Here is a 23,466-nt window from a genome sequence, read left to right as displayed (position 1 = left end):
GAGTTAAAGACCAGCCTGACCAACACAGTGAAACCCCCGTCTCTACTAAAAATACAAAAATTAGCTGGGCAAGGTGTGGTGCGCCTGTAATCCCAGCTGCTCGAGAGGCTGAGGCAGGAGAATTGCTTGAACCTGGGAGAACTGCTTGAACCTGGGAGGTTGCAGTGAGCTGAGATTGCGCCACTGCACTCCAGCCTGAGTGATAGAGACTCCGTCTCAAAAAAAAAAAAAAAAAAAGAATATAAATTTAGCAAGGTTGCTGGCTATAAGGAAAGTGTTTTAAAATATATTTCTATATACCAGCAGCAAACAATTTAAAAATGAACATTTTTGAGTGAAATACTTTTTTTTTTTGCTGTATTGCCCAGGCTGGAGTGAGTACAGTGGCACAATCATAGCTCACTGCAGTCTCAATTCGTGGGCTCAAGCCATCCTCCTGCCTCAACTTCTCAAGTATCTGGGACTACAGGAATGTACTACCATGCCTGGCTGGCTCTTTTTTTTTTTTTTTGGTAGATATAGGGTCTGCCTCCCTGTGTCTCCCAGGCTGGTCTCAAACTCCACCCTCCTCAGCCTCCCAAAGTGGTGCGATTACAGGCGTGAGCCATGGCTCCCAGGCCTAAATGAAATCATTTACAATAACATCAGGAAACATTAAATACCTAGGAGTAAATTAAAAATGTACAAGTCTTCTACACAGAAAACTGTACAATATTAAGACACAGAATCCATAAAGACCTTTAAAATGACAGGATAGCTCATGTTCATTGATAAGAAAGACTCAAAAAGAAATACATATGGAGTCTTTCTGAGCCTGCTCTGGCTGAGGAGGCTGCCCAATAAAAAATAAATAACAATTTAAAAAGCGGCAAATTATTCCAAAATTAATCTATAGATAGAATTCAATCCTAATTACTGTATCAATTTATCTATAGATACAGTAGAATCCCAGCAGGGGTGTGTGTGTGTGTGTGTGTGTGTGAGTGTGTGTGTGTGAATTGATATGCTGATTTTAAAAGTTAGATGAAAATACAGAAGACAACAGCCAAAATAATCTTAGAACAGAATTGGAGGAGTTAAAGCTCAGGATATCAAGACTTATTGCAGCAGTATTGTAATTAGAGCAGTGTGGCACTGGCCCCAGGGACAAAGAGGCCAACAGAACAGATCTGAGCTGAGGGATAGACCCACACATGTGTAGATACTTGATTTATGACCAAAGTGGCATCATTCAAAGAGAGTCTTTTCAGTAAATAGTGCTGGGTAATTGGATATCCATATCGGAAAAAAATCTTGACCTTTGCCACACACCATATATAAAAATCAATTCCAAAGAGGATTTGGTGAAATTAGAACACTCATACATTGCTGGTGGTAATGCAAAACGGTACAGCCATTTTGGAAAACAGTTTGGCATTTACATAGAGTTACCACAGGGCCCAGCAATTATACTCCTAGATATATACCCAAATGAATTGAAAAAGGCAGGGTGCATGGTTCACACCTGTAATCCCAGCACTTTGGGAGGCTGAGGCAGGCAGATCACCTGAGGTCAGGAGTTCGAGACCAGCCTGGCCAACATGGTGAAAACCCACTTCTACTAAAAATACAAAAATTAGCTGTACATGGTGGTGTGCACCTGTAACTCCAGCTACTCGGGAAGCTGAGGCAGGAGAATCACTTGAACCTGGGAGGCAGAGATTGCAGTGAGCCAAGATTGCGCCACTGTACCTTCAGGCTGGGTGACAGGGTGAGACTCTGTCTCAAAAAAAAAAAAAAAAAAAAGAATTGAAAAAAAAATGTGTTCACACAAAAGCTTGTACACAAATATTCATAGCAGCACCATTTATAATAGCCAGAAAGTAGAAACAACTCAAATGTCCATCAGCTGATGATAAACAAAATGTGGTCTATCCATACAAGGGAATATTACTCAGCCATTAAAAGGAATAAAGTACCCATTCATGCTACAACATGGAAGAGCCTTGAAACCATGTTAAGTGAAAGAAGCCAGACACAAAAAGCCACCTATTGTGTGACTCTGCTTCTGTGAAATGTCCAGAACAGGCAAATCCGTAAAACAGAAAGTGGATTAATGGTTGGCAAAGGCTGAGGGAGGGGGAGATGGGAATGGCTGCTAATGGGTAAGGGTTTCTTTCTGGGGTGATAATGTGTTCTGAAACCAGATAATGCTGACAGCTGTACAACCTTGTGAATAGACCTTAAAAACCACTGAATTGTACACTTCCAAAAGGTAAATTTTATGGTTTTTGAATTATATCTCCATTTTTAGAAAATTAATCCCAGATGGATTATGGCTCTAAAAAATAAGGCAATAAAGCTTCTGGAAGATTTAATATAAGACAATATGTTTATGACCTTGGGTTAGGCAAAGATCCCTTAAACAAAACATTAAAAGCACTAACCATAAAAGAAAAGATTGGTTATTTTGAGTACTTAAAAGACTTTGGCCAAGTGCGATGGCTTGTGCCTGTAATCCTAGCACTCTGGGAGGCTGTGGCAGGAAGACTGCTTGAGCTCAGCAGTTTGAGATCAGCCTGGGCAACACAGCGAGACCCCATCTCTACAAAACAATTTAAAAATTAGCCAAGTGTGGCACGTGCCTGTAGTCCTAGCCACTCGGGAAGCTGAGACAGGAGGATCAGTTGAGCCAAGGAGTTCAAGGTTGCAGTGAGCTATGATTGCACCACTGCATTCCAGCCCAGGTGACAGAGTAAGACCCTGTCTCTAATCATAATAATAATTTAAAAGAGTGATGATACCAAGTGTTGGTAAGGATGTGGAGCATCTGGAACTTTCATATGTGCTGGTAGAAATGGAAGTTAGCCCAGCCACATTGGAAAACTCCTAGGCAGTTAGCCAAACATATGCCTACCCCATGATCCAGCAGTTCTACTCTTGAGTAGCTTCCACCCTAGAGAAATGAGGACTTTATGACCACCAAAGGCATGCGCACGAATGTTCACAGCAGGTTTATGAGCAGGAAACAAGCTACAGTGAGAGAGAGCAGGAGAGACGAATGTTCACAGCAAGTTTATGAAGCAGGCAACTAGCTACAGTGAGAGAGAGTAGGAGAGACGAATGTTCAGAGCAGGTTTATGAGCAGGCAACTAGCTACAGTGAGAGACAGCAGGAGAGTTTGTTGAGAGGGAAAGGAGAGCATTGACTGGACGAGAGCATGAGGAAGGCTTCAGGGATGCCAGAAGTGTGCTCTGTCTTCCGTTAGGCAGCAGGATGTGCACATGTCTGGATGTTGATCAAATGGCATACGTGGTGTTTGTGTACTCTGTGAAAGTTATACCTAATTTTTTTAAAAAGAAAAAGAAATAGAACATGTGTCCACCTTGTTCCATCCCTCCTGATAGCCTGAGCTGTCTCCCCTGTGCCACCTCATTGAAGAATTTTCTATGGTGGGACCAATATGGTTCACCTATGTGGTTTTGTTCACATGGTTCTTTGTCTTCTAGGAGTGTGGGCCTGTATCTTATTTACGCAAAATTTTCATCACTGTTGATAGTCATCATGTCCCCAAGAATTGTAGGAGGCTCCTCGGGAAGTAAAGGGCCCCTCTCAAAGATTTCCATTGCTGGGTGATCAGCCTTCACAGGCATGGCATACTGGCCACCCTTGCACCCCCACATCCCATCAACAACATTAGCCAGCCCACACTGCCCCAGAAATTATCGCTGAGGCAGAAATGAATGTGGCAATAGCCACCCCTTGCCCAATGTCTCATGCCTAAGAAGATGAATTATCAACTATTTCAAAGTTGAAAACTAGCAGATTTTCATGATAAATGGGACCTTTCTGTCTTGTCTTTGCACAGACAGCCGCCAAATCTGTCAGGCTCATTCCCGCCTTTTCTGACTGCCTTGCTTTATGTATAAAACCTGAGACCAGGGTTTTCACCTCTCAGTGTCTGGTAAAGACAGAATTTTATGGTGACTGGCCAGGGAATGAAAGTGTCATATCTCCCTGTATATGAGGGACACTAGAGAATTATGCCTGGTGCATTCAAACCCTTCCTGTCATTTAAGACTGTACAATTATTTATGCATATAATGTATCTCTGGGAAGTAGAAAAGTAGGAAATATCTCCATATGCTTTAAAATATAATGACTGATTTTTTTTTTCCTACCAACAAATGAATGCTAAGACATGGCTTTGATTTTGACAAGGCTCTCAAAATTTGCTACATGGAAGACAGAGTTGAGTCCTGAATGGTAGTCTTTAAACAAAAATTCCAGTTAATTAATGTACAGAAAATAATGTAAAAAACAGTAACTAACTACTCAGCTCAGCAAAATATGTAACATGTTTCCACATTTACTTTACATCTTTTTTTTTTTTTTTTTTTTTTTTGAGAAAATGTCTCACCGTGTTGCCCAGTCTGGAGTACAATGGCGCGATCTCGGCTCACTGCAACCTTCACCTCCCGAGTTCAAGCAATTCTCCTGCCTCAGCCTCCCGAGTAGCTGGGATTACAGGTGTGCACCACCATATCTGGCTAATTTTTGTATTTTAGTAGAGATGGGGTCTCACCATGTTGGCCAGGCTGGTCTCAAATTCCTGACCTTAAGTGATCCTCCCACCTCAGCCTCCCAAAGTTCTGGGATTGCAGGCATGAGACACCGCGCCTGGCCCATTTTTTTTTTCTTTTCTTAAGAGACAGGGTCCCACTCTGTCTCCCAGGCTGGGGTGCAATGGTGCCATCATAGCTCACTGCAACCTGGAATTCCTGGGCTTAAGCCATCTTCCCACCTCAGCCTCCTAAGTAGCTGAGACTACAAGTGTGTGCCACTGTGCCTGTCTAATCTTATTATTTTTGTTTTTGTAGAGACAAGGTCTCACTGTGTTGCCCAGGGTAATCTTGAATTCGTAGCCTCAAGTGATCCTTCTGCCTCAGCCTCCCAAAATGCTGGGATTACAGGCATGAGCTGCCACACCCTGCCTGCTTTAGATCATTTTTATGTAAAGTAAATCATTACAGTTATTGCTGAAGACCGCCCCCATGAACCCCACCCTGCCCATCTCTTCCTCCATGCCCCAAAGTAAACACTGTCCTGATTTTGATTTTATTCTCATATGTGTTTTGATATATGTGTATATATTCACAAATGATATATGATTTTGTTTTGCATATTTTAAAACTATATAAATGGCATTAGACATATCATTTCCCCACTTGCTTTTTTTTGCCCAACTTACTATTTTCTGAGATTTATGCATGTTAATGCATGCTGTGTGCACCCATTCATTTTCACCTCAGCAGCATATTCCATTGCACGAATGTGCTGTCATTTGTTTATTCATTCCACTGTCAATGGACGTGTAGGTTGTTTCCAAACTTTTGCTTTTATAAATAGCGGATGCAGGGAACGTTTTTACATGGGCAAGAATTCCTCTAATGGATATAAGTATTAATGCTGTGTTATGGGTGATACACATCTCCAGCTAAGGAAATGTTGCTAAATTTCCCCCAACGTGCTTGAACTAACTTCTACTGTCACCACTAGTCTGAATTTCAGTGTGGCCGTGCCCACACTAGATTATCAACCTGTTTACTTCTGACTCTGATGGGTGTATTACGGTGTACATTTGTGAATTTCAGTGCCATGGCCGTGCCCACACTTGATTATCAAATAATCTGTTTACTTCTGACTCTGATGGATGTATTATGGTGTACATCTGTGGTTTTAATTTGCATTTCCCAGTTACTAACCAGGTTGCGTGTCATTTCATATGCCTTTCGGGCATTTGAGTTTCCTCTTTTGTGAATCCGGTGTTAGTATTGTTTGCCTGTTGTTGTGTCGCTGTTGGGATAGTTTGTGCTTTTCCTGTTGATGTGTAGGAATCTTCATGTTCGGAACCCCGTTCCCTTGTCAACGTTGCACGTATCTTCTCCTGATTTATGTCTTGTCTTTTACTTTGTTTGTTTCTTCTGATATAGATGCCTTTCATTTTAGGGTAGGTGGTTCATTCTTTCTGATGTTTGACATTCTTCTCCACCCATAAGCAATGAAAATAATCTCTGTATTTTCTTCTTCTTCTTCTTTTTTATTTTTTATTTTTTATGTATTTATTTTTTTGAGACAGTGTCTTGTTCTGTCACCCAGGCTGTAGCGCAAACCTCCCAGGTTCAAGCAATTCTCCTGCCTCAGCCTCCCGAGTAGCTGGGATTACAGGCATGCGCCACCACACCCGGCTAATTTTTGTATTTTTAGTAGAGATGGGGTTTCTCCATGTTGGCCAGGCTGGTCTCGAACTCCTGACCTCAGATGATCCACCCGCCTCGGCCTCCCAAAATGCTGGGATTACAGGCATGAGCCACTGCGCCCTGTATTTTCTTCTTAAAGTTTTTCTTTTTTATATCTAAGAATTTAATCCACCTAGAATGCTTTAGAGGCTTGTTCTGGGTTCCTCCGAGGAAAAGCAGCAGTCATTTCCACTGGAATTCTGGAAAGTGCGCTAACGCCAGGCTCTTCACGTGGGCCTTGAGCAATCAGTGCCATTCCCCCTCCTGGAGGTTTGCATACCCTTTTCTCTGAGCCCTTGGCCTTTTCAACAAAGCAGACACTAGGATAGTAAGAATTTCTATCTCTAGAAATCCAGAAAGGTCCAAAATGCCCTGCACTTTGCTGGCTACAGTTGAATGACCTGCGTGGTGCAGGCCTTTGACTAGCTGCATGAAATTGCTCTGACCTTAGTGTAATTCCTTACCACACCTAAATTATTCCACATAAAACACTGACGTCTTCCCCATGTTTCTACCATTGTTAAAATTACAATTGCCATAACCCTTAAGTTCATAGTATCTGTCGTTACTTAGTTTCTCTTTAATCATTAATTCTTCTGTCCAAAGCAAAGTAAATAGGAAATTGGAGGATGCAAAGTGTCGCAGGGCCTGAAGGGTCCCATTTCTCACCTACCTGATAGGATTACAGAAGGCTTTCCCAAAGAAGCAGGCAGTGGCAGAGAGTACAGGCCTTGCCCTGAATATAAGTTTGGCCGTTATCACCGGAGTTGAGTGGTGGCATTGGGAGCTGTCACCCCACTGCTGCCGTTGTCTGCTTGGTGACCATGTGGTTCCATTCTCCTAAGCCATCTCAACAGGCCAGAGTACACCCTTCTGTCTTCAGCCATTTCTCTGCTCCCTGGTTGCCAAGAGCAGCGGCGGCAGCAGAGCAGGGCAGTCAGCAGGAGTCAGTGTGAGCTCGTCACCAAAACCACCCAGGGACATTTACCTGGGCAACCGGAAATGGAATTCCAGCTTCCCTTCCACCTTTTGTCTAACCCCGTTACCTGGGCAACCGGAAATGGAATTCCAGCTTCCAGTCCACCTTTTCTCTAACCCCGTTACCTGGCAACCGGAAATGAATTCCAGCTTCCCGTCCAACTTTTGTCTAACCCCGTCCGTTGCATGAGATGAGTTTGGTGAGCTGTTAATCCTCTGGAACTTTTTCTCATCTGTAAAATGGGAACAATAAATAACATCCAGGGTAGGTAAGGCTTTACTCAGATTAAATGTGACAAAACGTTCCTCATGTCATTCCCGGCAGTCAGTGAGCCTTTAGGACTATGGGTGTCCTTCTAGATAATTGGCATCCCAGAGAACCAGAACAAACAAAGAGGAAAAGGTAGATTGTTGCCAGGATACAATGTTTACATTTGGGTAAATCTCCTACATCCTCAGTAACATCCAGAGAAATTCAAAGTAAAACAATAATGAGTTACTATTTTTTGCCTAATGAATAATCAGGATTTGATGAGTTTTCAGTGCTGATAAGGGTGCAGTCTGCATGGCTGGCAGAGGTGTAAATGGGTCCATTCCATTGGAAAGATCTTAAAGTTTACACAACCACACACATCACAGAGTACTGCACAGCCATTAAATCACGATTCTTCTTTAGAGATGGGGTCTCGCCATGAGGCCCAGGCTAGAGTGCACTTAAAAACCTTGATTTGTTTTTTAAAGACTGCAAAGATGGGAAAATAGAATATAAAAATTGTGTATATTAAGTGAGAAAACCAGGTTATAAAATTGAATATACATACAGTATGATTCTGATTTAGTTTTATGGAGGAGTTGTGGTTTGTTACTGAGGCAGGGTCTCCCTCTGTCACCCAGGCTGGAGAGTTACAGTGGCACAATCTTGAGTCACTGCAGCCTCAACCTCCCAGGCTTAAGCGATCCACCCACCTCAGTCTTCCTCAGTAGCTGGGACCACAGATGCGCACCCCCACGCCTGGCTAATTTTTGCATTTTTTGTAGAGGCGGGGTTTTGCCATGTTGCCCAGGCTGGTCTCAAATTCCTGAGCTCAAGCGATCCTGCTGCCTGGCCCTCCTGAAGTGCTGGGATTACAGGTGTGAGCCACGGCTCCTGGCCCCCTGATTTAGTTTTTTATATACGTACACATAGGCTGGCTCCTTGATGTTGTTTCTCCTAGGTGATGGGAATTATACATAATTTTTTTCTTTTATATTTCTGTTTATTTCCCCAATTTTTTGCAACAAGAATGTGTTACGTGTATAACGAGAAAAACATGACTCATCGGCATGAGTCCACTCGGCACTGGGTCGCTGGAAGGGGCCGGTAATGCTCTCTGCTTTGCTCCACAGCTGCTGCTGGACACCCACTCGCTGAAGATGGTCCTGCTCGATCTCCCCTCCATCAGCTCGCAGGTGGTGAGGAAGGCACCCGCCAGCTACACCAAGATCGTTGTCAAAGGCATGACCCGGGCTGAGATGATCCTCAAGGTGATGGCTTGTGTTAAAAGGGGCCAGTTATTTATTTAATCTCTTTTTCTGAGAAGCCTTGGTTTTGAAAGCACAGGGTAGGTCCTATCCTCACCGGCCTCAAAGCATGGTCCACATTCTTGGGCTGGACTGGATTTTGGCCTCATCAGATATTGTTGAAAGTCTGTGGATAGTTATTAGGGCTCAGTAATTCCTTCTGACAAATGAATTTCTTGTTGGCGTGGGATTCTCTTGTGATCAAATGTGGTCAAGCTTGGAGGTTAGGTGGTTGCCACTGTGAATCAGTGTATGTCAGGGATCTCCGCTTCTCAGCAGGAATTTCAGGCACAGCTCTCAGTTACTCCCTTCCACATCAGCCTTTTTGGCTTTCTGTACTCTGCCACTTTAAATGAACTCTGAACAGATGTTGTAGTAACTGAATCTAATCAGCAAATGGATATTTTAAAGCCCCATTTAACAAGACTGTACTTCGAGTGAGGAACGTCTGAAGCCCTGCGCATCTGCCTCTGGTTTCCAGCTATTTTGAAGAGTAGGGATGAGGGCTGGAGAACAGATGGTCCTGTGGTGATGTGGTCTTAAAAGCCCAGGACCTGTAGGCTCTTCAGGCCACTTCCTAAACCAGATGACTCAGGGACGGCAGGAGTAGGAAGTGGCAGCAGGGCCTCAGACACCGGTGGGATGTGGGTGAGGATGAAGCAGCTCATGTAGGTAAGGGTGAAGAGCTCATGTAGGTGAGGGTGAAGAGCTCATGTAGGTGAGGGTGAAGCAGCTCATGTAGGTGAGGGTGAAGCAGCTCATGTAGGTGAGGGTGAAGAGCTCATGTAGGTGAGGGTGAAGCTGCCTCATCATGTTCTTTCCCTGCTGCTTACTGCTGGGGAGGAGAGCCTGTGGTCTGGGAATTATCGGCAGAGGATGCCTGAGTGAACTCCTCCTCGCCACTCTTCCCTTCAGTCTCAGGAATTCAAAACAAATCAGTCGGCTGGGGAAAGAAAATCAGATACTGCATTCCAGAACAAAACGGAAATGAATAAGGGTTGCAGTGCCGTTCCTTTCCTTTGTTTGTATGTTAATTGATAGTTTAAGTTAGTCGTTACATGAAGTTACAGATTTTAAGTCTCCAAAAGGTGAGGCAGCTTTGGCATTTTTGTTTTTGCAGAAATCCACTTACTTATACCAGCTCCTTTTGCCACCCATTTCTCAGGAATCATAGTACGTCAAGGCAGAAGGAGCAAGTACCGTGTACTGGTGAAATGCCTGGAACAGGAGACCCTCTCACGCAGGGTTTCCCGGATGGTCCTGATAGTTTAAAAGTCACCTGGGACTCCAGCCAGGCCTACTGAATTAGAGTCTTTAGAGGAGGGCCCCGGAAACCCATACTTCAAACAGCAGCGCAGGTGTATTTAGGATTCAGCAAATTTAGGACATTGCTGTAGTGGCATGTGAAGATGAGATGGGCCACTGGGGCGTTTCTAGTCTGGGTTGCTGCTGCTTAAGGAAACCTCTCAGAATCCATTTAGCGCTCGGCGGGCAAGTGAGGAGTGAGTTTTCCTGAAGGGCCCGCTCCCGTCTCCTCCTGCGGTGGGTAGTGAGTTTTCTTGAGGGCCCGCTCCTGTCTCCTCCCGTGGTGGTAGTTTTCCTGAGGGGCTTGCTCCTGTCTCCTCCCGCTGTAGGTAGTGATGGCCCCTCATGAACCGTTGGTGGTGTTTGTTGACAACTACATCAAACTTCTCACAGACTGCAACACAGAAACCTTTCAGAAGATACTGGACATGAAGGTTTGTGCCGGGACATTTGGTCCACACCTGCTCATCCCCCTCACACTCAGCGGTTCTTAACCGGGAATTGGGATATAAGTTCCGGGGGGGCTTTCTCAAAATGCATGTGCCTGGCTCCACAGAGCAAACCGGATTCAGAGAAGCCTCTGGAGGAGGATGGCCCCGGGCACGTGCACTTCAGGATTCTGACAGGCCCTGCATGCCCCGCTGAGACCACCTGCACAGGGAGGATGGGGCAGGGGCAGGGGGATGAGGACAGGCATGTTGTCCTTCCCACCTTCTTGACCTGTCCTTTCTCCTCTGTCAGCCGCTTCTTTCCCTTCCTTTACCTTTTCTTCCCCTCTCTTTTCCTCCCACGCTACTACCCAGGGGATGGTGAGTCCCTTGAGGAAACGGTTCATCCTCAGCCTGGAGTAACTATGCTGTCTCCAGAGCCTCTGCTGACCCCATATCCAGATACTGCGCTGTCCCCCGTGGGCCATTCTGGCCCAGACTTCGTGACGGTTCTGTTTCTCTCTCAACCTCAGGGGCTGAAGAGGAGTGAGCAGAGCAGCATGCTGGAACTCCTGCGCCAGCGGCTCCCCGCACCGCCCTCGGGGGCAGAAAGCTCCGGCTCACTGTCCCTGACGGCGCCAACACCAGAGCAAGAGTCGTCACGCATCCGCAAGCTCGAGAAACTCATTAAAAAGAGACTGTAGCAGCAGCAAGGGGCCCTTTGCTCCTGGCTGGAGACCCTCAGCGCCCGTTCCCCAGAAGCCCCCAACCTCTCCTGTGCTCCCCGGCACTCTCACATCGTCGGTCTTCAAACTTCCTGGGACATGTGGGTTGTTACTGAGTCTCTCCCATGCCCTGTCTTACTTCCTGCCCTAATCGGAGACGCTGAGTAAGGGCTGGGCTCTAAGAGGGCGATTTAGGTGATCTCTGGTTCGTGAAGCAGAGGCAGCAGTGGAGGATAGGTCCCTGAGCTGCCCTTGACTCATGTAGCCTCCCCATGGCAGTCACACCCTCTTGACACGTGGGCCCCACCCGTCCTTTTTTTTTTTTTTTTTTTTTTTTTTTGAGACAGAGTCTCGCTCTGTCACCCAGGCTGGAGTGCAGTGGCGTGATCTCGGCTCACTGCAACCTCCGCCTCCCAGGTTCAAGCAATTCTCCTGCCTCAGCCTCCTGAGTATCGGATTACAGGCGTGAGCCACCGAGCCCAGCCCCTTCCTCCATTTCTTTACTCCCACCCTGCTCCTGGTTTCTAGGGAAGGGAAACCAGGAAGTTCACTTGGAAGACGTTTCCTAGGTTTTCTCATCAGATGAAGCCATGGGAACGCCCAGGAAGTCCATACTCTCAAACCCCTTTCTGCCCACTCACCTTCAGGTCCACAGCACTTTCCAGCGTCATCTGAAATAGCAAAGGTGATGTGCAGCATCCCAGTGATGTGTTCCTGTGTTATGAGAAGGAGTCTGGGGTTCTGGATGCCTCAGGAACAGAATATGGACCTTAAAGACCAGGCTGAGAGCCTGGCCTGGCACGCAGCCTGCCCGCCCCCCCCGCCCTTCCTGTCCACCGCGGGCTCTCTGCAGCAGGGCTTGCCGAAGAGACTGCTCCCGACCTCTCATGTCATCCTGCATCCAGAGAATGGCAGCATATCAAGCCGTTAACCCTGATTCACTCGGTTCCCTTGAAACCAGGCCTCAGTTAACCATGACCACAGCTACAGGCAAACCGCTGCTGTTGCTGCCTGCTTTTGCTGAAGAATGATATCTTGCCAGGCACGGCGGCTCATGCCTGTAGTCGCAACACTTTGGGAGACCAAGGCAGGAGGATCACTTGAGTCCAGGAGTTTGAGACCAGCCTGGGCAACATACAGATGTCTACAAAAATAAAAATTTGCAAGGTGTGGTGGCATGCACCTGTAGTCCCAACTGCTAGGGAGGCTGAGGTGGGCAGATTGCTTGAGCTCAGGAGTTTGAGACCAGTCTGGGCAACCTGGCAAAACCAAAAATACAAAAAATTGGCTGGGTGTGGTGGCTCATGCCTGTAATCACAGCACTTTGGGAGGCTGAGGCAGGTGGATCACCTGAGGTCAGGAATTCGAGACCAGCCTGCCCAACATGGCGAAACCCTGTCTCAACTAAAAATAAAAAAAATTAGCCGGGTGTCATGGCGAGTGCCTGTAATCCCAGCTACTGGGGAGGCTGAGGCAGGAGAATCACTTAAACCCGGGAGGTGGAGGCTGCAGTGAGCCAAGATTTCACCACTGCACTCCAGCCTGGGTGACAGAGCAAGACCCCTTCTCAAAAAGTTTTCAGGATAGAGGAAATTTCCTTAAAATCCATAAAACTTGTAACAGCCGTACAGTAGGAATAAGGTTTGGAAATCTGCCTGGAAACCTGATTTCCTCATCCCCACCTTGTTTCCCAACATAACCACTGCTCTGTGCCCCTGCCCTCTCTGCCAGGCTTTCTCCCCGATGCCGTCCAGCTCTGATCCTGAGTGTCATTTCTTCATCGGCTTCCAGGCTGTCCTTGCTAGCTGGTTTGACTCTCACGCATCAAGCGTCTCAAATTTGAGAATGCGGAGGAGAAAAGAAGTGTTGCGAGAAGGAGATGCGGCCTTCAGTTGAGGTCTATTAGGAAAAGATTCCAAATAAGACAAGGGCGGGGGGCGGCAGTCGGGAGAGCCCCCAGGAAGCCCTGTAGATGCCCCCACCCCAGCCCATGGAGTTGCTATGGTTAAGCAGCCTGAGCCGTACAGTTGAAAAGGGGCGGTGGGGCCCATCTCCAAATAGCACAGCCAGTTCAGCCGTCTGTCCTCAACCCAGGAGAGCTGGGAAAGCCAGTGGACTCCTGCACCTGGTTCTTGTCACTCCTGGCGTTTGTGTACAGATCACCACTTCTCTTTTTGGTTCATTGTTGAGGAGTCGTTTTCCGGACGGCTCCATCACAGCATTGAGCTATCAAGCTGCTGTTTTCCACAGTTGGTGGTCACAGCCAGGGAAGTTGCTGTCTTGATTTGTTACATTGTCAGTAATCCCCAAGGAACCAATGGATGTCAGTAGGAGTTTCTGTTAAATGTCTCCTTGATGGGGACTCAGTACTGTGTAGAGACGCTGTGTTTCTCTTCTGGGGGTGTGCATCAGAACCACTGGGGCCTTTTAAAATCTACAGATGCCGGCCGGGCGCCGTGGCTCACGCCTGGAATCCCAGCACTTGGGGAGGCTGAGGCGGGCGGATCACAAGCGCAGGAAATTGAGACCATCCTTGCCAATATGGTGAAACCCCATCTCTACAAAAAATACAAAAATTACCGGGGTGTGGTGGCGTGCACACCTCCCAGCTACTTGGGAGGCTGAGGCAGGAGAATCGCTTGAACCCGGGAGGCAAAGATTGCAGTGAGCCGAGATCACGCCACTGCACTCCAGCCTGGCGACAGAGTGAGACTCTATCTCAAAACAAACAAAAAAACAGATGCCCGGAGATTTTGAGTCAGTAAGTTTGGATGGGGCCTGGCATACAGGTTTAAAAGTTCCATAGGTAGTTATAACGTTTACACCTTGTTAAGAACCACTGCAACAGAGAGATTTGCTTTATGGAAGGGCTCCTGCCACGCATTTTCATACATGTCTATTTTTCTGACTCTAAGCTAAAAGTGCGCCGACACTACACTTGAGCTGGTGCCAACGTGGTGAAGATTCTCTACTGATAACAGCTTTCATTTTAAACTTGTGTTGGGTCAGGCGCGGTGGCTCACGCCTGTAATCCCAGCACTTTGGGAGGCCGAGGTGGGCGGATCACATGAGGTCACGAGTTTGAGACCAGCCTGGCCAACATGGCAAAATCCCATCTCTACTAAAAATACAAAAAAAAAAAAAAAAAAAGCAGGCAGGTGGCGGGTGCCTGTAATCCCAGCTACTTGGGAGGCTGAGGCAGGGGAATCAGTTGAATCCGGGAGGCGGAGGTTGCAGTGAGCCGAGGTCCCGCCACTGCACTCCAGCCTGGGAGACAGAGTGAGACTCAGTTAAAAAAAAAAGACTTTTGGTGGTGGTGGGGACCATGCCCAGGATTGGGCTCTCTCCATACTGATGAGGATTCTTCTTGTTTTGATGACCAACCCCCAAGCAGAAGCTTTATTTATTAACATCACTTCAAAAATAACGTATCAAAGGGGCACCCTAGGCCGGGTACTGTGGCATCACACCTGTAATGCCAGTGCTTTGAGAGGCTGAGGTGGGAAGATTGCTTGAGCCCAGGACTTCAAGACAAGCCTGGGCAACAGAGTGAGACCCCATCTCTATTAAAAAATAGGCCGGGCATGGTGGCTCACACTGGTAATCCCAGCACTTTGGGAGGCCGAGGCAGGTGGATCATGTGAGGTCAGGAGTTCGAGACCAGCCTGGCCGACATGGTGAAACCCTGTCTTTACTAAAAATACAAAATTAGCCAGGCGTGGTGGTGGGCGCCTGTAATCCCAGCTACTCAGGAGGCTGAAGCAGGAGGATCGCTTGAACCCAGGAGGCAGAGGCTGCAGTGAGCCGAGATCATGCCATTGCACTCCTGCCTGGGTGACGGAGCAAGACTCTCTAAAAAATAATAAGGTAAAAGGAGTACCTGTGGATGAAAGCAGCAGCTAACAGCTCTGTGATTCAGCTAGACCTAGATATTGTGCCCATTCCTTCCCCTCAGTCCATTTTCTGTAGCCCCTTTAAAAACCAAAAAACAACTTTGAAGTCACTTTGGGTTTAAAATAAATAGTGGTAATTTGTATAATCAATAAAGAGTTCACTCTGCTCTTACTGAGGGGACTTGTCTGAAAGCTGGCTTAGCGGTGTCCAGGCCAGAGAACATCCTGTGTGGACTCTTAACAATGAAACAGGAGCCGCAATGGACAAGGTGTTCTGATCTCCAAACCCAGCTCAGGGATTGAAGCTAACTACCGCCACTCCTTCCTCTCTCGAAGAACAAAGAGCCAGTACCCAGGGCTCTGCCCACCCCCGAGAAGGGGTGCCTGATTTCTTATGTCTAGGGTGGCTCCTCTGTGCAGATCAGACAGGACTGAGAGCAGACAAGCTGAGACCAGCATGACCAGTACAGGGCACGCAGAGCGTGGGGGCAGGTCCGAGGCTGCTGCTCGATGCAGGGTATGACACCAACCCTTCCTGAATTGCCATCGGATGAGGAGACCTGGTTCCCTGTTGAAAGAATGCCAGGGGAAATGCTGCATGTGCACAGCTGGAAATGGGGTTCCTTCTCTAGGAAGAGCACTCGGAATAACCTGCTGGAAATGGGGTTCCTTCCCTAGGAAGAGCACTCAGAATAACCTGCTGGAAATGGGATTCCTTGGCTAGGAAGAGCACTCAGAATAACCTGCTGGAAATGGGATTCCTTGGCTAGGAAGAGCACTCAGAATAACCTGCTGGAAATGGGATTCCTTACCTAGGAAGAGCACTCGGAATAACCTGCTGGAAATGGGATTCCTTACCTAGGAAGAGCACTCGGAATAACCTGCTGGAAATGGGGTTCCTTCCCTAGGAAGAGCACTCGGAATAACCTGCTGGAAATGGGGTTCCTTCCCTAGGAAGAGCACTCGGAATAACCTGCTGGAAATGGGGTTCCTTCGCTAGGAAGAGCACTCGGAATAACCTGCTGGAAATGGGATTCCTTCGCTAGGAAGAGCACTCGGAATAACCTGCTGGAAATGGGATTCCTTCGCTAGGAAGAGCACTCGGAATAACCTGCTGGAAATGAGATTCCTTCCCTAGGAAGAGCACTCGGAATAACCTGCTGGAAATGGGATTCCTTCGCTAGGAAGAGCACTCGGAATAACCTGCTGGAAATGAGATTCCTTCGCTAGGAAGAGCACTCGGAATAACCTGCTGGAAATGGGATTCCTTCGCTAGGAAGAGCACTCGGAATAACCTGCTGGAAATGAGATTCCTTCGCTAGGAAGAGCACTCGGAATAACCTGCTGGAAATGGGATTCCTTCGCTAGGAAGAGCACTCGGAATAACCTGCTGGAAATGGGATTCCTTCGCTAGGAAGAGCACTCGGAATAACCTGCTGGAAATGGGATTCCTTCCCTAGGAAGAGCACTCGGAATAACCTGCTGGAAATGAGATTCCTTCCCTAGGAAGAGCACTCGGAATAACCTGCTGGAAATGGGATTCCTTCGCTAGGAAGAGCACTCGGAATAACCTGCTGGAAATGGGATTCCTTCGCTAGGAAGAGCACTCAGAACAACCTGCCTGCTTGAGGGTGACAGCAAGTGTCTCACACTTCTCGTCTACTCCAAGTCAGATTCCTAAAAATAAAATAGAGCTCCAATGGGCAATTTAAGCAAAAGCCTTAGAAACATGGACACCTGAAATGCTGGCCTACATGAAGGGTACGATGACATTTTATATATTAAATAAAAATTCCCAGTCCTGTTTTAGTATTCATCAGAATAGCCTCTTGGACCCTCGAAGTTCTACACCTTTGGGAGATATAAATTTCCTTAAAATAAAGGGATTGCTTCTTTGTGTAAATAGCTTTCATTTTCTCCATCTGGAAGTGATTTCTGCCTGCATGTTGGAGCACAAAATACTGCAGTTAATTAAAGCATTACTGGATGTCATTTGCTAGAATGTATTTCCTTACTGCTGACAGAAAACAGAACAGACTCTAGGAAAGAAGTAGCAAGTCCGTGACCCTGGCCGCTCCTGGTGGCTGCCCTTCTCCCTTCCCTGACAGTCTAAGGAAGCAACGCGTGGGAGCAGAATGTGGCCGACTGAGCCCAGTCCTGACCTGCCCAGTTGCAGTGGAGCCTGTCTGTAATGTTGTGTAAAGTGTTTTGCTTCTGACTTGGAACCCTACTTGCCCTGTGAATTTCTATCCTGTGAACCTTCCCTTCTCTGTCCTTACCGTTCCCATCACAGCCTGCTCTTCCAGTGACGGCCAAGTGATTTCTCTCCTGCACGCATGAGTCCATCCTGTTTCCTTAGTAGCTGGATGGACGTTTTGCCATGAAAACTCTTTGGGAAGTCTTGTGTCCTTTAGTGATTTCTCTCCTGCACGCATGAGTCCATCCTGTTTCCTTAGTAGCTGGTTGGACGTTTTTGCCATGAAAACTCTTCGGGAAGTCCTGTGTCCTTTCAACAGGGGAAAACTGGCTGCGGCCCTTCCATTAGGCTCCAGGATCATTACCTCGTTTCCATTCTTTCTTTTCAACAGCTCCCCACTTTACTAGGGAAGCCAAGGGATCAACCTAATGAGAAAAGAACCTTCCCTGTAGCCCACCTGGAAGGGCATTGCCTGCCAGCTCCTTCCTTCTCACCTATGTGAACAGGAGGGAAGATGCCGGCGATCCATGGATCTGTGGGACATGAAGGACGTGTCCATCAGAAATGAAAGCAGCCTGGGATTGGAAGCATCCACAGAAGACTTGATCTGCAGGTCTTGATTTGGACCTGGCACTTTGACACCAGGCGAGTCACTGATCCCCTGAGCATCCATTTTCAATATTGGTGAGAGGGGATTATAATGAATATTGGCTGTGAAGGTCACACAAGACCGGGCTATATGCACTTGCTCTGCCATAAGGCAGTGTGAAGTGTGTTCGTGATCACTTGTGGGCGGGAGCCTGTGGCTGTCTTGCCTGGACTGGCTTTTTTAAACATGGATGAGTGGTGACAAATCCTGCGGCCGTGTGCAGGCTACATCCGCAGCGAGCTCCGCATATCTGGTCTTTGCCTTTTTAGGTCATGACTGTAATATCAAGCTTACACGAGAGTTTTAAAAGACTGAGCAGTATCCCCTTCCCCTGGCAGCTGCTGCTTCCGTAGCATTTAGGGATAAACCTGCAGACACTGAGAAGAGAGCTTCCTCCCTCCTGGGGCTGGTGGCGAGGCTGCCTGTTGTGGAAAATAGGGCATGTCTCCTGTGAATGCGAATTGCGAGGGTTGCCAAAGCCTCCCTTCCAAGAAACTTGCTTAGGTGTCTGGTGTCCACAGACCAGACTCTTCTCCCGACAGGGACAAAAATTCTTGCCTGCCTTTCTTTTTCTTTTTTTTCCTTTTACTTATTCTTGCCTTTTTTCTTCTTCTTCTTCTTTAGGTATGATGCCCCCCAAAAAACTAAGCAAGATTAACTTGGGACAGGCAGTTCTAACTGGGAAGCCTGAGCTCACAGGCTGTTTGGATTACTTTCCAATTGTGTTTCAAAGATGTTTAGACTTTTCCCAAGGCCAGCTGAATCCTTATAATCAGCCCAAAAGTTCCTTTCTGTTTCTGTCTGTCCCCTTTGAGGGTGTTGACTCAGAGAACCTGGGGCAATATGAGATGTTAAAATAAAAATAGCGTCCAACGTCCCGCCTCCTGGGAATGCTGCTCACTTCATCCGAGGGTTCTGGGAGCTTCTGCTCAGTCATCAAATGGAATTTGCACAATTGTCTTGCCTCCTGTTTTGGGTAATTTTTCAACAAGTGAGAAATTAAGAACAGCTTCTCAACAAACTTCCCTCTACTTCCAGGGCCAAGAAAAGTATTTGCAGTGTGGGCTGCAGCTTTCAGGGGTCTCAGGTGAAATGGTGGCAAGAAACCCCAGCTCCCTTCATGTGTTTGCCTTGCGCTGATGGAAAAGGAAGGCACTTCTCAGCTGCCAGAGACCACATTCCACAGGGTTCTTCACAAAATCAAGCACTGCAGTGGACCAACTGGAGCAGCCACTGGAGGGCTTTAGAAGGCAAATGGAATACATATCAAATGCTATATAAAGAAAACATCTGTTTACACAGAGTCCCCCACAGCCTCATACCTACACCCAATATCAAATGCTGTATAAAGAAACATCAGTTTACACACAGAGCCCCCCACAACCTCATACCCACACCGAATATCAAATGCTATACAAAGAAACATCAGTTTACACACAGAGTCCCCCACAGCCTCATACCCATGCCTGTCACATCTTTGCACAGCCCTAAAGGATCCAGAGCTTTGGATCAGCAGCTGGCTAGCTCGGAGGCCAGAGGAGGGTGCTGAGGGGAGTGGAGGTCAGTTGGGGTAGCCCTGGGCCCTGGCTGCACAGTCCAGCTGCTGTGTGGCCTGCATGTGGTATCTTAGGTCATGAGAGGGCCTGGGCAATTCAGTGCTATCTGTACATGTTGGTGGGGTGGGAAGGAAAAGGTAACTGTGTATTTACTGTGTCCTGGATACATTATCTCATCGGATGAAATTCCTGCTAAGTTAAGCTCCGTTTAGTGGACGGGACTTGGAGGCTCAAAGAGGGTAAGTGACAGGCCCAAGGATATGTGCCTAGTGAGGGGTGAGCCAGGATTCGATGTGTGACTAGTAAGGGGTCAGCCAGGATTCAATATGTGACTAGTAAGGGGTCAGCCAGGATTTCATATGGGACTAGTAAGGGGTCGGCCAGGATTTGATACGTGACTAGCAAGGGGACAAGCCAGGATTTGATATGTGACTAGTGAGGGGCGAGCCAGGATTCGATATGTGACTAGTAAGGGGTCAGCCAAGATTTGATATGTGACTAGTGAGGGGCGAGACAGGATTTGATATGTGACTAGTGAGGGGCGAGCCAGGATTTGATATGTGACTGGTGAGGGGCGAGCCAGGATTTGATATGTGACTGGTGAGGGGCGAGCCAGGATTTGATATGTGACTGGTGAGGGGCGAGCCAGGATTTGATATGTGACTGGTGAGGGGCGAGCCAGGATTTGATATGTGACTGGTGAGGGGCGAGCCAGGATTTGATATGTGACTGGTGAGGGGCGAGCCAGGATTTGATATGTGACTGGTGAGGGGCGAGCCAGGATTTGATATGTGACTGGTGAGGGGCGAGCCAGGATTTGATATGTGACTGGTGAGGGGCGAGCCAGGATTTGATATGTGACTGGTGAGGGGCGAGCCAGGATTTGATATGTGACTGGTGAGGGGCGAGCCAGGATTTGATATGTGACTGGTGAGGGGTGGAGCCAGTCAGGATTTGATATGTGGTTAGTGAGGGGTTAGCCAGTCAGGATTTGATATGTGGCTAGTGAGGGGCGAGCCAGGATTTGATATGTGACTAGTAAGGGGGTGAGCCAGGATTCAATACGTGACAAGTGAGGGGTGAGCCAGGATTCAATACGTGACCAGTGAGGGGCGAGCCAGGATTCGATACGTGACCAGTGAGGGGCGAGCCAGGATGCGATACGTGACCAGTGAGGGGCGAGCCAGGATTCCATACGTGACTAGTGAGGGGTGAGCCAGGATTCGATATGTGAGTAGTGAGGAGTGAGCCAGGATTTGATATGTGGCTACTGAGGGGCGAGCCAGGATTTGATATGTGACTAGTAAGGGGTCAGCCAGGATTTGATACGTGACTAGTCAGGGGGTCAGCCAGGATTCGATACGTGACTAGTAAGGGGTCAGCCAGGATTTGATATGTGACTAGTGAGGGGTGAGCCAGGATTTGACATGTGACTAGTGAGGGGTGAGCCAGGATTCAATATGTGACTAGTGAGGGGTGAGCCAGGATTCGATATGTACCTAGTGAGGGGTCAGCCAGGATTTGATATGTGGCTAGTAAGGGGTGAGCCAGCCAGGATTTGATATGTGACTAGTGACGAGTGAGCCAGGATTTGATATGTGACTAGTAAGGGGGTGAGGCAGGATTTGATATGTGACTAGTAAGGGGGTGAGGCAGGATTTGATATGTGACTGGTGAGGGGTGAGACAGGATTTGATATGTGACTAGTGAGGGGTGAGCCAGGATTTGCTATGTGACTAGTAAGGGGGCGAGCCAGGATTTGGCTCCAGCCTTCATTCCAACATCCATGCCTTTTGTACTTCACCAGCAGTTTTCAAATTTATGGGACAAAATTTTACATTGGATTCCCTCTATACAAAATAGATAAAAGTATTTTATGAATACATTTTATGAGTTCAAATATTTTTCAGAAGAAATCAGTAAAAGCATTGAAAACTATTCCAGCAAATAGGAAGCACTTTAAACCAAGGTTATGGATGAAAATGTGTGTGTATCAACCCCAGTTTACTTCTGGGTTGCACAGAATAGAGAAATCTTGATTTAATCCAGCTAAGAATTTTCAAATAGTATCCATTTTGTTTTGTTTTAAACAGCTCTTCTTGCAATGGTAGAGGCTCTTCAATTAAACAGAGATGGTAACAGGCTCCTTGTCTCCTGAAGTCTTCATGGCCGTGAACAGCCCTTGGAGAAAGAGGTTAACAGAAGCAAGGGCCTCCGACATCTTACATTTGCCCCCAGAAGACATTTGAGGATGCGCGTTGCGTTATTACCATTTTTAATGTTTAGTTTTTAGAACTAAAACTAAATGCATTTTAAAAGTGAAGTTAGAATCAAACCTTTGTAGAGGTTCTCACTCCACCAAAACATCACTGAAGATTTCCAGGTTTCCCCAGGTGTCTGTTTGGAAGCTGCTGCCCTCATTGACGCACGTTGCTCATTGTTTTTCTGACCTTAGAGGGGAGGTCAGGCTTGGCACTGTCACCTAGTACAGGAAAGGGCACCGTTTGACTTGAGGTAGCCACCCATTCAACAATAGCACCTAAACTCTCTCCCAAATTCTGTGCAAATACAGGTTGAGCATCCCTAATCTGAGATGCTTGGGCCCAGGAGTGTTTTGGAGTTCAGCTTTTTTTTGATTTTGGAATATGTGTATTATGTACATGCCACTTCAGCATCCCTAATTGGAAAATCCCAAATCCAAATCGCTTCAGTGAGCACTTCCTTTGGGTGTCATGTCAGCACTCAAAATATTTTGGATTTTGGAGCATTTTGTATTTCGGATGCTCGACCCATAAGGCTGTGGGGCACAACTGAGACGAGGCCTTGTGGCCTTTGGAAAGAACATCTGAGAACCCTCTGAGTAACCCCTGGTGCAAGGGAGACAGTACTAAGAACAAAGCAGTGTCACTGGGATGGAGAAGGGGCTTGGTCAGAGGGAGGTGGGCGATCAGAAGAACCCAATCCTTCCAAAAGCCCCAAATCTTGTGCTTGAGACCTCGCATGACTGTGTAGGCAATGCTTCCCGACCTTTTCAGGACTTGAAACAGAAGTGACGACATGAGTAACTCCTCTTCCCTCAACAGAAGAGGCTGCTGGGGCCGGAAGTGATGGGCCTGGGGACACCTCCCTCCCTCCACAGCCCCAAGGCTAAAGGGATCAGTATCTGGCCATTTGCTGGATACCTTTGCGGTGGCCCCAGCATTCCAGTTGGGAAACTCAGAATTGGGGCATGAAGGTTGGAATTAGAGCATCGGGGTTGGGTGGTGTGTTTGTTTCCGTGTTGGGAACTTTGTCAAAGTCCCTCCATTTGTAGATGGGATGCTGAGATCTCAAGAGGTTTAATCACTGGCTTACTCCCCGCCATAGAAGAGGAGCGGCAAAAGCTAAGCCACTTGTGTACATGCCACTCTCAATATCCTGCTCTCAACTCACCACACCACTTTCCCTAGCTGTCCAGTCCTGGGGTCTGTCCTTTGCCCCACCCAGGTCTTCAGAGACTGTCCCCTTTCACCCTCTGCTTGCAGAAGTGAACAGGGGTCCCCCTGCTTTTCCTGATGCCACTCCCCCCCACAGCCTGTCGGTTTTGTTAGTGCGTCAAGGGAGTCCACTGCCCCCATCCCCACATGCATTCCTGCCGAGCAAGTCAGCTTCCATCTCAAGCACTGTCCTGACCCCGCTCTTGAGGGTCACCGGTGCTCTTCTAGAAAGTCAGCTTCCATCTCAACCACTGTCCTGACCCCGCTCTTGAGGGTCACCGGTGCTCTTCTAGAAAGTCAGCTTCCATCTCAACCACTGTCCTGACCCTGCTCTCGAAGGTCACCAATGCTCTTCTACAAAGTCAGCTTCCATCTCAACCACTGTCCTGACCCCGCTCTCAAAGGTCACCGGTGCTCTTCT

General features: G+C 47.4%; 1 protein-coding gene and 1 long non-coding RNA gene across 8 annotated transcripts in view, besides 1 other annotated feature; one reads left to right on the top strand and one right to left on the bottom strand.

Annotated features, from left to right (window-relative positions):
• Positions 1-7,644, bottom strand: part of VPS53-AS1 (VPS53 antisense RNA 1) — a 28,617-nt gene extending 20,973 nt beyond the window's left edge. Inside the window, exon 1 of the long non-coding RNA XR_007065570.1 lies at positions 6,952-7,644. This is a non-coding gene — a long non-coding RNA (VPS53 antisense RNA 1). The remainder of the gene's footprint in view (positions 1-6,951) is intronic.
• VPS53 (VPS53 subunit of GARP complex) overlaps positions 1-21,713 on the top strand; it is a 206,172-nt gene extending 184,459 nt beyond the window's left edge. For 6 of the 7 annotated variants that reach the window (XM_047436345.1, XM_047436344.1, XM_047436346.1 and 3 more), the window contains 4 exons: positions 8,643-8,780; positions 10,451-10,555; positions 11,083-12,441; positions 17,756-21,713. In XM_047436345.1, the coding sequence (XP_047292301.1) occupies positions 8,643-8,780; positions 10,451-10,555; positions 11,083-11,253 (414 nt within the window). In that variant the 3' untranslated portion in view covers positions 11,254-12,441; positions 17,756-21,713. Of the gene's footprint in view, positions 1-8,642; positions 8,781-10,450; positions 10,556-11,082 lie in introns of all 7 variants that reach the window. The other variant, NM_001128159.3, reaches the window with a different exon arrangement.
• Positions 9,399-9,900: an enhancer, noted in NCBI's record as "H3K27ac hESC enhancer chr17:423721-424222 (GRCh37/hg19 assembly coordinates)". NCBI's record gives its function as "activates a minimal SCP1, AML or CMV promoter by ChIP-STARR-seq in naive H9 embryonic stem cells {active_cell/tissue: H9 hESC(naive)}" and the evidence as "EXISTENCE:reporter gene assay evidence [ECO:0000049][PMID:30033119]".

The sequence above is a fragment of the Homo sapiens genome, chromosome 17 (genome assembly GCF_000001405.40).
Source record: "Homo sapiens chromosome 17, GRCh38.p14 Primary Assembly".
NCBI lineage: Eukaryota > Metazoa > Chordata > Mammalia > Primates > Hominidae > Homo > Homo sapiens.
This window is presented reverse-complemented; position numbering and strand designations above follow the sequence as displayed.